The following is a 14,165-nucleotide window of genomic DNA, read 5'->3' on the forward strand; positions in this document are numbered from 1 at the left end:
GTGACCATTAAGTATCTGGAGAGGAGATTCACAGTGATGGGGCACTGACTGTGGCAGCCACCCTGGGGCACTCACAGGGGTTGTTTATATTCCTTCCTGGAATTTTACGACTGCTGAGTTGGGAAGATTCAATATCAAATGAGGAGCAGTAGGTTAAACAACATCCCTCAAGTCCCACAATGGGAAAGTAGAGAAGCCTGGACTCCAACCCAGCTCTGCCTGAAGCCAAGGCTCTGAACACTCATCAGAGTGGGCCAACACCATGTCTGCAGTCTGGACCTTCCCAGGCCCAGCAAGATTGGGAGACAGAGCTACCCAGGACCAAGGGGTATAGATGCATGAGGTGTGGGGACCTTTTCTTCAGTGCTGATGGTCTGGACAGGAGTTATAACCAGAGACCATGTCTGCAAGGCCAGGAGGCTGGAAATGATCAAACATATTTCCATGGGATGTTGCAGTAGCCTTAGATCATGGAGTGTATTGGCTGGAAAAGCCTTTAGGAACCATCTGGTGCAGCACCCTTATTTTAAAGGTGAGGAAACTGATATTCGAGGAGGGTGACTTGCCCAAGTTCATAGTTGAGCCAATGCTAAGAGAGGGAGACTTGAACCCTGGGTTTTACCCCTCCCTGTTTCCCCACAACTGCCTAATGACTTTCTCTACCTGTTTGTAAGGATTCGGTGGCCTTGAAAAGAGCTGCCTAGATACAGTAGGTTTGGCCAGGTGAATTTTCTGTGAACTGGACTTTGCCTTAGTGCCATCAGTTGAAAGTCACCAGGTTCCCCTTTCTGATCCACTCATGCTGTTTCCTGGAGAGCCTTCTCCAAGAAGGCAGGCTCTGTCCATGGTGCTGAATGGAATCCTTCTATTTCAACAAATGAGTACCGGCCTTAAAGTCCAGCCCATCTCTGTTCTTCCCCTGAGCCCTCCCCCTCCACTGCCCTCACCTACTCCAACCCTAAATGATGTTGCTGTTTGGGGTCTCTGGGCTATGTGATCCAAGTGAGTTTTCTATCTCTGATGAGCTCCGGCTACTGCTCCCTTACCAAGAGCATCAATGAGGGTTCCCTCAGCAACCTGTTAAATGCTTGTTGCCATAAGAGCCTTTATCAATCTTCAGTTAGTTTTGCTTTACCATGGATCCAGCTCATTTCTTTAGTAAAGCAGTGTAGGAGCTTTAATAATATTTTCCCAGAGAAGGGCCGAGGTCAGAATTAACGCCCCAAGGGGTCTAGTAATGAGGGAAGGAAACCATACATAATGAATTATGTGCCAGGTGATATGGTAGATGGTATTCATATGTTATGCATAATTAATCCCATTTCACAAATGTAAGAACAGATTCAGAGAAGTTTGGGTACTTGCCTGAGATCTCCCAGCTCATATATGCAGAGACAATATACAAGCCTCTCCACTGCCTCCCTTCCCTGGAAAGCTGTTGGATTTGGCTGTGGAAGACACACAACTTGCTCCTTGAGGCCTGAGGACTGTGTTCTTCCTAATTCCATGTGCCCAGGTCACCGAGTGAGCAGCGGGACCCCAGCAGCCAGAAAGAAGAGCCCACTCTGACATGTCTATATTTCTACTTGAAATTTTAGGACTGCTGAGTTGGGAAGATTCTTTTAGAAATGAAACCTTAACCCAAGTCCAGCATCACCAAATCAGTCAAGGGAAATAGTCGATAGAGAGTTTGGGGCTTGCGGTTAGCAGGTCTGGAGTTTAGTCCTGACTTGACTGCTTCTTGGCTATCTGACCTCAGGCAAGTTACCTAACTTCTCTGAACCTCCTTAAAATGGTGTGGAAGGTTAAATGCAGCATCTACAAGACCTGGTCCCCAGCTTACTTCTGGAAACTTCCCTTTCTCCTCTTTCCAGTCCACCCACTTGGTCATTTCAGAATATACCATGACTGAATTAGGACTCACTCTCTGTACATAGTTGATTGGTTCAAATATGAGGTTCTGACCCAAGCAAATAGAACCTTCTGGGCATTTGAAGTTAGAATTGAAAAGGGTGAGTCTCCTCTTGCCCTGGTGGAGGATACTGAGCTTTTGTAAGCTTGGGAGTTAATGGCAGCCATGTTCCTGGGGTGGGTGGTTTGGGGGGGACTGTGGCAGGGAACACATGTCTGCAGGAAGAAAGCAAAGCAAAAGCAAGCAAAGCAAAAGCAAGCAAACAAAAACCACAAACAACAACGACAACAACAAAAACTTCTCATAGAGGGAAACTGAGCAAGAGGAAGAGGGCACTTCCTGTATTGGCCTCTCACCAACCCATCCCCAGCATGCATCTCAGCCCTTGGATTCCAAATGCTCCTCCGAAATCTGCACCTTTGTTGAGGTTAGCTAGAGTTGGCTGCCATTCCTTGAAATAAAAAAAAGCCTAATAAAATTAATATAAACATAAGTACTAAAGACCACAGTCCTAGGCAGGGCATTCAATGCCTTTTGCCCTCACTCAACAAAAACAATGATGCAATGCATCAGGCCTGCAAAGTCCCTGGGGGACCTTTCCTTTCCCCAACACCACCCTGTGCTTTTGGCATTACCTCTAACCAAATGTCTCTCCCCGCTTTGAAGACTTTCTGTCTAACCTCTGATCACACTCCAATGCCACTTCCTCAGGATGGTCTTCCAGGATTGCCTTGGCAGAGCCAGTCCCAGTCCTTTGTCCATGAGCTGCACATGATGGGTGTCACTGAGACACTGGACCTGGAGGCTCTGAGTCCCCAGTTCAGGTAGAGTACCCTGGCTGCCTTAGGCCCTTGAGCAGGTAAAGGATAAAAATAGTGGTGCCACCCTAGGCATAAGGTTTTGTGGGCCAGTCCCACTCCCTAGTGGGTCTCCCTGGTTCTCTGGGCCTCTGCTTCAGGGTCCCCAATACTCCACAGCCCCTGAATGCTTGGGTCTTGAGCCCCTGGGCCAAGCACTGAGGACAGACTTCATGCTGGTGGATCCCTTTTCCCCTCCTTCCATGTTCTGGGAGACCAGGGATCTGCCTTCACCTTGCCCACTTATGCCTGCGTCCTACTCTGAGTTGGTTTGCCTCTGCCCTCCATGTCCCTGACAGGCAAGAGTCCTGGAGAATGGGGGCCAAGGTGGTTTCTCCCAGGCCCTGTTCTATCATCCCCACCTTTGACTCCCTGTCCTGCAACTCCTAACACCACCCTGAACGGGGCCCAGAAACTGCTCAACTCCCAGTGCCCCTGGACAAATGAAAAGGAATGAGTGAATGAATGAGTGAGAGACTCCCACCCATAGGAGTCCATTTGTCCTTGGCTTGTTGGGTGGGACCTGCTCCCTGATGGGGGAGGTGAAAGCCACCTGGAGACCCAAGGTCATTGGGAACACACAGGCACCACTCAAGCCCACCTGTCTCCTAATAGGAGCTCACGGCAGCTGCTCAACATGTGATTGGCTGAACAAATAAGCTCATCTGATTGGTCCATCTGACTGGCAGTCCCTGCTGATTGGTTCCTCCTCTGATTTGCTTGCTTGATAAATACCTTCCTCCCCAGTCCTGGGTTATTTAAGGCACCCACCTTCCTATGGTTTATTCATCCTGGCTGCAGCCCAGGAGTCTAGCAGAGACCACAGCCTTTGAGAGCACCTGGGCATTTGGCTCTTCCAGGGGCCATTGGGACTGTGGTGGGCAGTCCAGTCTCCAGTCTGTCCCAAATTTCTTTCTTTTCCTACTCCCAAGTGGAGAGCTGGAATAGCTGACTTGGAAAAGTCTTTTTCCACGAGTCTTACCCTTGAGCCCTTTGACCTAAACAACCAGCACAGGGATGCCACTCTCACCTTCTGTGGGCTTAGGGGGATGGATACAGTCATGTCAGGGAAACCCTTGCTTTCCCAGGATCCTACAAACCAAAAGGTGCACAGGTCACGTAGAGGACCTCTGGGGTGTTTGTCTGGAAGCCCTCTTACCTCTTCCAGAATTACCTTTGTGGTGAGGAGCCAGTTCCATGTGGTGGAGCTGAGGGTGCATTCCTAGTCTTCCCAGAGATTTGACAGGTGGACACTTGGAGGGAGAAGGTCTCTCCTCTGGGATGACAAGCTGCAAGGACCTTGGAGCCTGGGGCAGTGCATCTTCCCCATGGGGAGGAGAAAGTCTGCCTGAGGAGGGCATGAACAGAGGCAAGCAGAGCCAAGAGGCTTGTGCATTCTGGAAGATTGAGAGGAGGCCCCATGAGCTGCAGGGCTGAGAAGAAAGAAGGGACGAGGCTGAGGTGGTCACTGGGGAATCTCCCTGCCCCTGGCCCTGGGGCTGGGTCATCCCTTCCCCAGCCCTGTCTGTGCCACACCCTGTGTTGGGCATTAAAGCTCCTGGGGTTGAGGACAGGAGTGATGAAGACCTCTCTTGGCTGACTGAGCTCCCTCCTCCACCCCCAGCCTGTGGTTCTACTGACCCTGAAGGGGCCCAGGGTCGGGGACTGGCAGTCAGGGGATGGAGGTGCATGTGCTGGTCATGTGACCACAGCCCAGGACCAGATCTGGGCCATGGATTCCCACAGATGGAATCGGTCAGAATCCTGGGCTCAAAGGAGCAACATCCAAAACTGAGGCCTTCCCCAACCTCCTCCCGAGTTACCTAAACAAGTGAGAGGGTGCAGTGGGCCCTTTCCTGGCTTCCTGACAGTCCAGCCAGACCGATTTCACTACCCTGAGCATAACAGCTTAAAGTTGAAGCCGTGAGCACCAGTCAGGAGCAGGTACTTACAGACAGATTACCTGTACCGCGAAGTTGCTGGGTTTTACATGCTCACACTCAGTGGTATTTCATGTTGCAGGTTAAGGTTAGTACATCTTTAAGAGCCACAACTTCTCAGAAACTTGTGAATTTTGTAGATTCATCCTCCTTTGTGGATCTGTCCTGAGAGAGGAGAGCAAACAAGAAATACTGTCATTTAAAGAAAAGAAGGAAAGGTAAAAACTGTACGGTGGAAATTACTTTTTACATAGTATGTCTTGAAAGTACCGATTGCATTTTCCTACATTGTCACTGATGAGCCCCTGGCTGGTGAGGGTAGAGTGGGGCAGGTGATGTGGTTTGAATTGTGTATAATAGTACAAAGCAGACCCCAAAAGGTCTGTGCTCCTGTCACTAAGTGGAAAGGAAAACTGTCTTTTTTGATTCTTGGGGTGAATTGTCAGTTTTCACGGACACAGAAAATCCTTTTCCCGAGACTTAGTTGAGGCTAAACTCCCACTGTCGAAGCCTGGTAGAGGAAAAAAAAGCAGCAAAGAACAGGAGTAGGACAGCTCTGGCCTTCATGTGGGATTCTGGAAGGGACAAACAAAACGAATGATGGCTATGGGAATGACAGCCTCTCCTGTGGGTCCAGTATTCACATCTGAAAGCCCCCTCCGCACCCCCCAGCTCGGGGTGATGCCCGCTGCTTTGATCAGGCATCTTCTGTCTTCTGTGCTGGGCCCCATGCCAGGCACTTTATAAGGATTATCTCCCTGATTCTGCACCATGACTTGGAGGGACTTGCTATTATTTTCCCCATATTGCAGATGAGGAAACTGGGGCTCAGGAAAAGAGAAGGGCTTGCCTAGGGTCACATAGCCAGGAGGCAGTGGAGGAGGGCACAAGTCCTCGAAGTGTGACTGTGGAGCTGAGGGTTAAATGAGGTGGTGGTGTGAATGGACAGGGTCGTGTAAATCTCCATAAATGTAAATTATAATGCTTTTGAACTGTGCTAGTTCACACAACCTCCAGGAGCACTAGCTCCCACGAGTGACTTTCATTCCAGTGGTTTTGCTGATGCTGGAATCCAATCAGAATGGGATTTTTTCTCTCTCCATTTTCCCAGCTCAATAAGAGTGGGACGAGGAGAAGTAGCCATCCAGGTGCAACCAGGAAAGAAATCACAGATGAAGAGAATTAAAGTTGCTCAGCAGCTGAGTGAGCTGCAATTAGTCTCATTTTCAACCTGTTTCCCACAATAACAGGAAAATCAAAGCCCTGTCCCTCCTCCTCCCCACCCCACCCCTCCAAAGCCTGACCCTAGCCCCAGCCCTGGAGGACCTGGATGCCCAGTGATCTGCATGTTCTCTGCTTACTGGGTGTGGAGAAGGGATGGGGATGAAGTTTACTAGGGGTATCAGGACCCCAAGTCCGCTTTCTAAGTCAACGAGCCCTTAAGAGCTGTGCGTGATTCTCCTCACTCGCTCTTTCTTTCTGCCTTAACAACCAGCATGTGTGAAGCGAGAATGGCGTGAATTGGAGCCCCAGGTAACCGACAAGGACAGGTAGCCTGAGTGAAAATGAGTCCTTGTGGTTTCAAGCCACCGAGATTCGAGGATGTTTGTACCACAACATCACTCATCTAGATGGATATTGATACGAAGATCAGTGCTTAGGGTTGGAGATGTAAACTTAGGAGTCATCAGAAATGGACAGAAAGCCACATTTGTTTCTCAGATTAGATGAACCTGGGAGAGAGAGGAGGGCGAGAAATACCCTCTGTCTTTTCTATCTCTGATGTGAATGGGCTTCACTGTCTTCTCCCCACACCTGGCTCCATCTTAACCTCTCCCTACTTGAGTCCCGGGCTGATTCTCAGTCTTGCCTTCTCCCACCCCTGGCAGCTTGGACTCTCAGATCTCTGCATCTGCCCCTCCTCCTCCCCCACCCCATGGCCATGGTTCCAGGCATGTCAGTCCTGTGTGGGGATTGGGAACATGGGCTGTGGGACGGGAAGTGCCAAGTTCAAGTCTGGGGTTTTCCATTTACAAGCTGTGTGATACTAGGTCACTTAACTCTCTGAGCTTTGCTTTCCTGGAAAAAAGGGGACATTTGTATAACTTACTACATAGAGAGGTTACGAGTGTTAAATGAGGAGAAGCATTTGAAATGCTGAGTAGAGAGCTGGGCACACGGTTAAGCACTCAAGGTTTGCTCCCTTGTGTAACCTCATTATTGTATGGTCAAGCTTGTGATGGTTAATTTTGTGCCAACTTGGGGAGTGTTTGTGGATGAGATCAATTTTTAAATTGGTGAACCTTGAGTCAGCAGACTGACCTCCATCATGTGGGGTGAGCCTCCTCCAATCCGTTGAAAGGCAAATAGAGAAAAAGATTGGTCCACTTGAGCAAGAAGGAATTCTCCAGCATACGGCCTTCAGACTTCACTGCCCCATTGGCTCTCCTGGATGTCTGCCTGCTGGGCCATACAACAGACTTGGACTCGCCAGTTTCCATAATTACATGGGCCAATCCCTTATAATAATCTCACTCTTGCTCAAAAATCATTCATGGCTCCCTATTGCCAACAAAATAAGGAAGTGCAACCTCCTTGCCCTGGCATGTTTCTGACTCCGTCTCTTATGCCCTGCCCCTGACAGGTGCTGCCTGCATTCGAACGCCTTGCCTCACCTCATCCCCCTCACTGGTGGACCCACAAACATAGGCTCCCATGTGCCCCCTCATGCACACTCATGCCTTTACATGCACAGGCACGCACACATACATATGCACACCTGCAGTCACATTTGCTCAAATACACACATGATCATGCACACAGGTATATGCACTTGCTCATGTATAAGCACATGAACATACACAATTGCACAACATGTGCATGTCTTCACATCCACACTTACCCCCAGACTCCTTCCTGAATGAAGGCCCCTCAGGGACCACCTCTGACTCCTATTCCAGGTGTGCTATGAAATTCACCATCAGATTCAAGCCTGAAAGGCGAGCTGGGCAAAGCTGAGCTAAATTTCATTTTAATTGTTTGTGGCAGGAACCCAATTTCTCAGGTGATAATTATAATAATTAAAAATGTTGTTATCAGAATGGTGAGGGGGAGATGCTCACTGCTGGCTACGAGACAATGAGCAGGCAGAGGGTTCCCAGATGGGATCCAGGGATCCAGTTCCAAGTCTCCCACCTCCAATGCAGTCTCGGGTAACTCTGCAGTAAGTTCTGGGGATGGGAGAGACTGGGGAGAGACAGGGAGCTCAAGCCAGAGAGCCAAGGGGCTGCTGTTCCAGGGAACACACCTGACAAATGGCCCTTCTCTGTCCGGGCTAAGAGCTGGGTTCCTGGAGACAAAAGGAGCCAGCAGGGCTGGACCTCCTTCTGCGACCCGCTGCCTGGCATAGGAGCAGGATGTTCCCAGAGGAAGGGCCGGCTTTGCTGGGCTGTGGGGTATGGAAGTTAGTGGGGTTGCATGGGAGGTGCCACTGCAGGGCAGAGTCATGAGCAGGCTCTGGGGCCAGGCTGGCCTGGGCTGTGCTGTTGGCCTTCCATGTGCCCCTGGGTGAGTCTCTCGTCCACTCCGCATTGCCATGGCTCTCAGCAACTTCACCGACACCTTCCCAGCCAGGTCTTCTATGTAGCACCTGATGTCCCTCCCAAGGGAGCTCTGTGTGAGCAGGGCCTCATCTCCACTGCCCACCTCTGTGTCCTCAGGACCTCATCTCCACTGCCTATCTCTGTGTCCTCAGGGCCTGGCACAGAAGAGGCTCATCCAAAATATTAAATATGTGTTTAAGAACTACAGGAATGTGTAAATAAACAGGACAAATCCATGAGGCAGGCATTCTTACCCCATTCAAAATAGGAGGAATCTGAGGCTCAGAGAGGTGAAGCAACACACCCAAAGTCACACAGCTGGTCAGCAGGGCCAGAGACAAGGCAGGGGAGGGTTGGTGACAGAGCTGGGGAGTGACATGGATCCTGGGGAGAGACAGCAGAGCTGCCGTGCACGTAGATGAGAAATCAAATGTTTTACAAAGCTCAGCCAACACGTGGGAAACTCAATCCAGCATGCCTGCATGTGGGAAGCCCCAGTGATCTGGGGGAAAATGTGGGAGGAGGTGGGGAGCAGCCTTGTTTGCACAAAGGCCTCACCACCTCCAATCACCTGGATTCTCAAGAGTCGGGGACGCCAGGGCCTGGCCAGTCACCAGGAGGTTGGGGGCAGAGAAGGGTGGAGCAGGGCCAGGCCCTACCCAGGTCAGCAGCCAGGCCCCGCCCCTGTGCTCCTGGCTGCTCTTCCCACCTAGCTTTTCCCTCCCTGACCTCTGTAGGTCCTCCCAACAGCCCTGCATTAAGGGCAGGAATCATCTCCACTTTGCAGATGAGGCAACTGAGGCTCAGAGAGGCCAAGTGACTTGTTCAAGGTCACACAGCAAGTCCACAGCAGACCCAGAACTGACCAGGCCCTGACTCCCAGCCCAGGGTGCCGAGTCCTGCCTCTCTGGCTTCTTCCTGGCTGCCCTGGCCCAGGGCCCCTGCTGGGATCCCCAATCCCATCCTGTCCTCAGCTACCACCAGCCCTCTCTGCTCCACCAAGGGCCCCAGCCAGGGCTTAGCTCAGAGCTGCTGGAGACTTCCAATCCCTACTCCAGCCTCTGAGCCCAGACCCTTTGCCCCCACTGTCCCCAGACATTGGGCCAAGGAGACATAGGATATCTGGGTTGGCAGGGACCCCATGAGGCCTCTGGCCCAAACCCCTGGATGGGTGAGAGCAATGGTCCCTCAGCAGCCACACTGTGCCCCTCACCTCCATCCCCGAAGCCCCCCAGGGCCCGGCTTGGGCAGCTGCTCTCCTCCCTGCATGTCTCCCAGCTTACTGCCTTATTTATCCCCTGACAGAGTTATGTGAATTCAGGTCTAAGGTTTGAGTTACAAACTTCCAGGGGAAGGAGGGTGGCCGGCGGCACCTGCAATTACTAAGAGGCATTGGTGATTTACTCTGCAGGGAAATGTTTGCTTCTCTGGAAGGATCATCTCAGATCCTCCTTGAAGTCTGGGATTTACTGAGGCTTCTCTTCCCCAGGGAGCTGCAGGGCAGACGAGGGTGGGGGTGGAGTGACAGAGGTCGAAGCAGCCCCAGAACCCACATACAGTGAAGAGCAAATCTCGACAGTGTAGTTGGGAAGAAGAACATAGGAAGATGGACTTAGGGCTCATCCAGGGTCTGAGTTTGAGTCCCTGCCCTGTCACAGCCAGCTGTGTGGCCTTGGGAAAGTCACTTGACCTCTCTGGGACTTGATTTCCTCTTCTGCAACATGAGGACAGTGACATCTGTTCCATAGGTAATAAGGCTTAGATGAGAAGTCACATGGAAGCTCCCTGCTTGATAGGTGCTCAGCAAATCTGTCTTCTCCCTTCTTGCTTGTTTGAGTCTCTCCTGACCAGATCACCTGCTCCAAGTCTCCTTCCTAGAATTCCTCCAAGGGCCCTTCCCTGCACAGGCCCTTCTGCTTCCAGGGGTTCTGGACCTTGTTCTTCTTGAGGTTCTGCCCCTTCTGCAGCTGGAAGGAAAGGCCTGGGCCCAGGCTGTGCTGGCAGGAGCAGAGACTGGCCCGGCCACAGGGGACCCAGGATGCGCAGAAGGTGCTGCATAAGCCCAGGGGTTGTTGGAGCGCAGCTGCTTCCCTGCTGATGAGTTAACAAATCTTGCTGTTGGAAAGGGCCATTGGCAGAGTCAGGGGCCTCTGGGGCCCAAAGTTCTGCTGTGATCTAAGGGTCAGCAGAAGTCTGTGATGCGCCTGATTTCTAACAAAGTGAGGAGGGACTGGCAGGGGCTCTGGCCTTGTTAGGTGACCCAGTGTCTGACCTTTCTGGAGTAGGGATGAACTCAGAACCTGGTGGGAGTAAGTGGGAAAGGTCAAGACTGGACCAAAGGACCCCAGCGTGCTCCATGGCCTCCTGAAGGGAGGTTCTGAGTCTAATCAGAAACTGACAATCCCCTGCACTACCGCATCACAGCAGGCAATGTCCCTCCCCAAGGAGGGAGCTGGCGTCAGATCTGCCAGAACCCACCAGAAACCAAGACCCAGGGCTGGCCCTGGGCAGATCTCGGCAGCCCCTCTGTGGCTGAGCCTCAGTCCTCTCACCTGTGAGTGGGAGGGGTGGTTCTTCCCTCACTTGGTTGTTGTTCAGGTTAAACAGAGTCCCTGCATGGTGCCTGGCAGATACATATTAGGTCCTCTTCAGACGAGAGCTGTGATCACTTGGAACCATCTCCTGGGGGTAGAGTTGGGTAAGGTGTGGACTTGGGAGCCTGGCTGCTGGCTTCAATCCCTACCTGGCCTATACCAGCACTGTGACTTGAGGAAGTGACCTAACCTTTTTTTGCTTCAGTTTCCTCATTTGTAAAATGAGTTAATAGTAGTAAGTCCTTCCAAGGTTGTTGAGAAGATTCAGTGAGATAATATTGTAAAGTTCTAGAACAGAGGAGGCACACAGAAAGTCTTAATAAAGCCAGCTTTTCACGGTTGTGTGCTGGTGTGGTTTCACGGTCATTGTCCAGCCTTTTCTCTTAATGGCCCCTCCAGACCCTACAGGCTAACTCTGCATCACTGTGGTCTGTGAAGGACCTTGTGGTTTCCTCCAGGGTCTGCTCTGACCTCTTCCTGCTCTGACCCCTATCCTGCCTTCACACACACATGCACATATGCACATGTGCACATATATACATGCTCTCTGGACCGCATGACTCAGGAGGGCCCAGGGCCATCTTTGGATCCTTGCCTCTCCCTGCCCAGGGCTGCCCATCTCCACAGCAGTGTGGGCATCGGGCAGAGGCTTGGCAGGACTGGTTCTGCCCTCCTACCTCTCCCTGAGCTGCCCCATCTATTCATGGAGCTTGGACTCTGACAGCCCAGTGCACCCCTGCATTGAGGGGATCTCGTGATTGTCATCCCCTACCGTATACTAGGCACTCTGCAATACCCTCCTTCTCTGTCATTGAAGGAACAGTTTTGGAAAAAGGAGCTCTGGAGGCCTGACCCACCCATGGACAGGTGGGGACTTTGCCTACACAATAGGTTTTATTTTCTTGTTTGTTTGCTTTTGAATTAGTTGATAAAAATGTAAAATCTAAAGATTTTTCATAAAGTAACATCTGAGAAACTGACATCCTGGGCCTGTGTTTCACCAGGCAACAGTGGCTACAGCCAAGTGCAGTAGCCTCTGTGCAGGGCCCCCGGCTCTCCATGATCCCCACCTGCCTCCATCTATCACTTGTGTTACCTGCTTGGCCCCTAATGATATTTGAGCTTGTGACCCTGCTGCAGAGACCCAGCTTGCCCTCTCTACAGATGAATAAATTGAGCCCAGGGAGTAACGGGGTGCCATGAGTTCGTTCCATTCTGATTGTCACCTCCTTGAGCGCAGGGACATTGGTCTGTTTTAGTCACTGCTATGTCTCACCAAACCAGAGCTGTGCCTAGTACGCAGCAGGTGCTCAATAATATTTACCGTGTGTTAAAATTCTTGACTGTCACTTGGCAGATTTCAAGCAGAGTCAGTGCTCAAAGCAATTGCAGCCCAGCTGCATTTTCCCTTAGACTATCAGGTCCCAAGACAGGTTCCTGCACCCCCATGTATGTGCATGACCCCTCCCCCACCACCACATGCCCCCCACAAACATACGCATTGCCTCAACTCAGATGCTTTTAAGGTCTAATCCAAATTATCCCTGGAGTGGATGGCAGGCCTTCTGCAGAAACCATCACTTGTCACTGTGGTATGTGACTTTTAGGACCAGGCAGGAATCAGCCCAGGAAACAAGGAAGAGAAGCAAGGAGCATCCATTTTTATTTTAAATCTGCTCAGCCTCGTTTTCACTTGCTCCTTTAACACCCTAATTTTCCTTTGGGAAATTAGCATTAATGAAATAAAATGTGGAAGCCTTATGTGATAGGGTCTGTCCTTTTAAACAGCAGGTGGTGAGCCCAGTGGTTAAGGTGCTGATTTGCGCAGACCTGGGTTCAAACTCTGAATCCACAAAGTCCTGGCTACGTGGCCTTGGGCATGGCATTTCTGAGCCTCAGTTTTCTTATCCATAAAATGGGGATACTAACAGTATGTAACTCATCTGGCTGTTGTAAGGGATAAATGAGATAATACAGGTAAATCGCCAAGTCCAGTGTTGGCTGCACATGGCTGATCGTATCATTATCACCAACCTTGCACGGATATGACTCTGTGAGGAAAGGCACAATGAATAAACATTCATCAGCATGCTTTCCCATGCTGCTTTTCAATGAATTTCTCTGTCACTATAATCACAGGTAGCACATACATATAATAAAATAGTGGTTCTCCCACGGCAAGCGAGTTACCTCTTCTATAGGCAATGCCTGGTACAGAGATAAATTTGGGATCCTTTGCAATAATCAGGAATTTTGGACCCTGGTCAAAGCCAATGAGATTTCTGACATTCACAGTTATGGGGATGCTGCGGTGACAGGCACTGACTGTGCCCAGCCTTGCCTTCCCTGCCCCCACCACAAACACAGCATAGGCCTCAGGCAGCCTTCTGCTCAGCCCAGAACTTCAAGTGCTATTAGCTGAGGTTTGTGGTTCTCTTTCTTCCTGATGAATATGTAAGTGCCCCCTAGGATGGGCAGAGATGACAGTTGTAATAAAATTGGTTCATTACTTCCCTCTACACGGAGCCATTTAATGAACATGCAGCTGAAGGCACCAAGGCCCCTGAGCAAATGCAAATGAAACAGGTTCCACAGTATCGTTTAATTTGCTCAGAGTGGGGGTCTGGGAAGTAGAGGAGAGAGTATAGCACAGAGGCAGAGAAAGCAGGGTGAGGGAGGGAGGGCATCAGGAGGGGGCAGAGAGGATGAGGGAGGGCAGGAAGGAGGGGAGAGAGGGGGAAGGAAAGGGAGAGTGAGCAAGGAAGAAGGGAAGAGGAGAGATGGCTCCCTTCATTATTTTGTATTTGACTTTCCAAAGCCCCCTTGCATGGAAGGCAGGGTTGGGCAGTCTCATTATTCTCACTGGAAAAGTGAGGACACCAAGTCCTACCATGTGCTGTGCAGGGCATTGAGTGCTGGGGACCCACAGTGGATGAGACAGACAGGGTCCTGCCTCTGTGAGATTCAGTCTGGTGGAGGAGACAGACACGAAGCAAATAATTATGTTGATAATACATGGAAGTGCAAGTCAGGCCATGTGAGCCTTGCATGATGATGTATAGAAGAAGGTAGACAGCCTTGTTAGAGGTGAGCTCTGAAGAGTGATGGCCTGGGCTGGGATCCCATCCCTGCAAGGCTGTGAGACCTTGAGTGAGTTGCCTAACTTCAACAGCCCTCAGTTCCTTGACTAGAATATTGAGATCATAAAACAGCTACCTAATAGGGTTGTTATGAGAACTAAATTTATTAATACATGTAAA

At 50.7% G+C, this 14,165-nt stretch overlaps 1 annotated feature.

Annotated features, from left to right (window-relative positions):
• Positions 734-934: a silencer, noted in NCBI's record as "peak146 fragment used in MPRA reporter construct". NCBI's record gives its function as "represses an SCP1 promoter by STARR-seq MPRAs in K562 erythroleukemia cells {active_cell/tissue: K562}" and the evidence as "EXISTENCE:reporter gene assay evidence [ECO:0000049][PMID:32103011]".

The sequence above is a fragment of the Homo sapiens genome, chromosome 1, assembly GCF_000001405.40.
Source record: "Homo sapiens chromosome 1, GRCh38.p14 Primary Assembly".
NCBI lineage: Eukaryota > Metazoa > Chordata > Mammalia > Primates > Hominidae > Homo > Homo sapiens.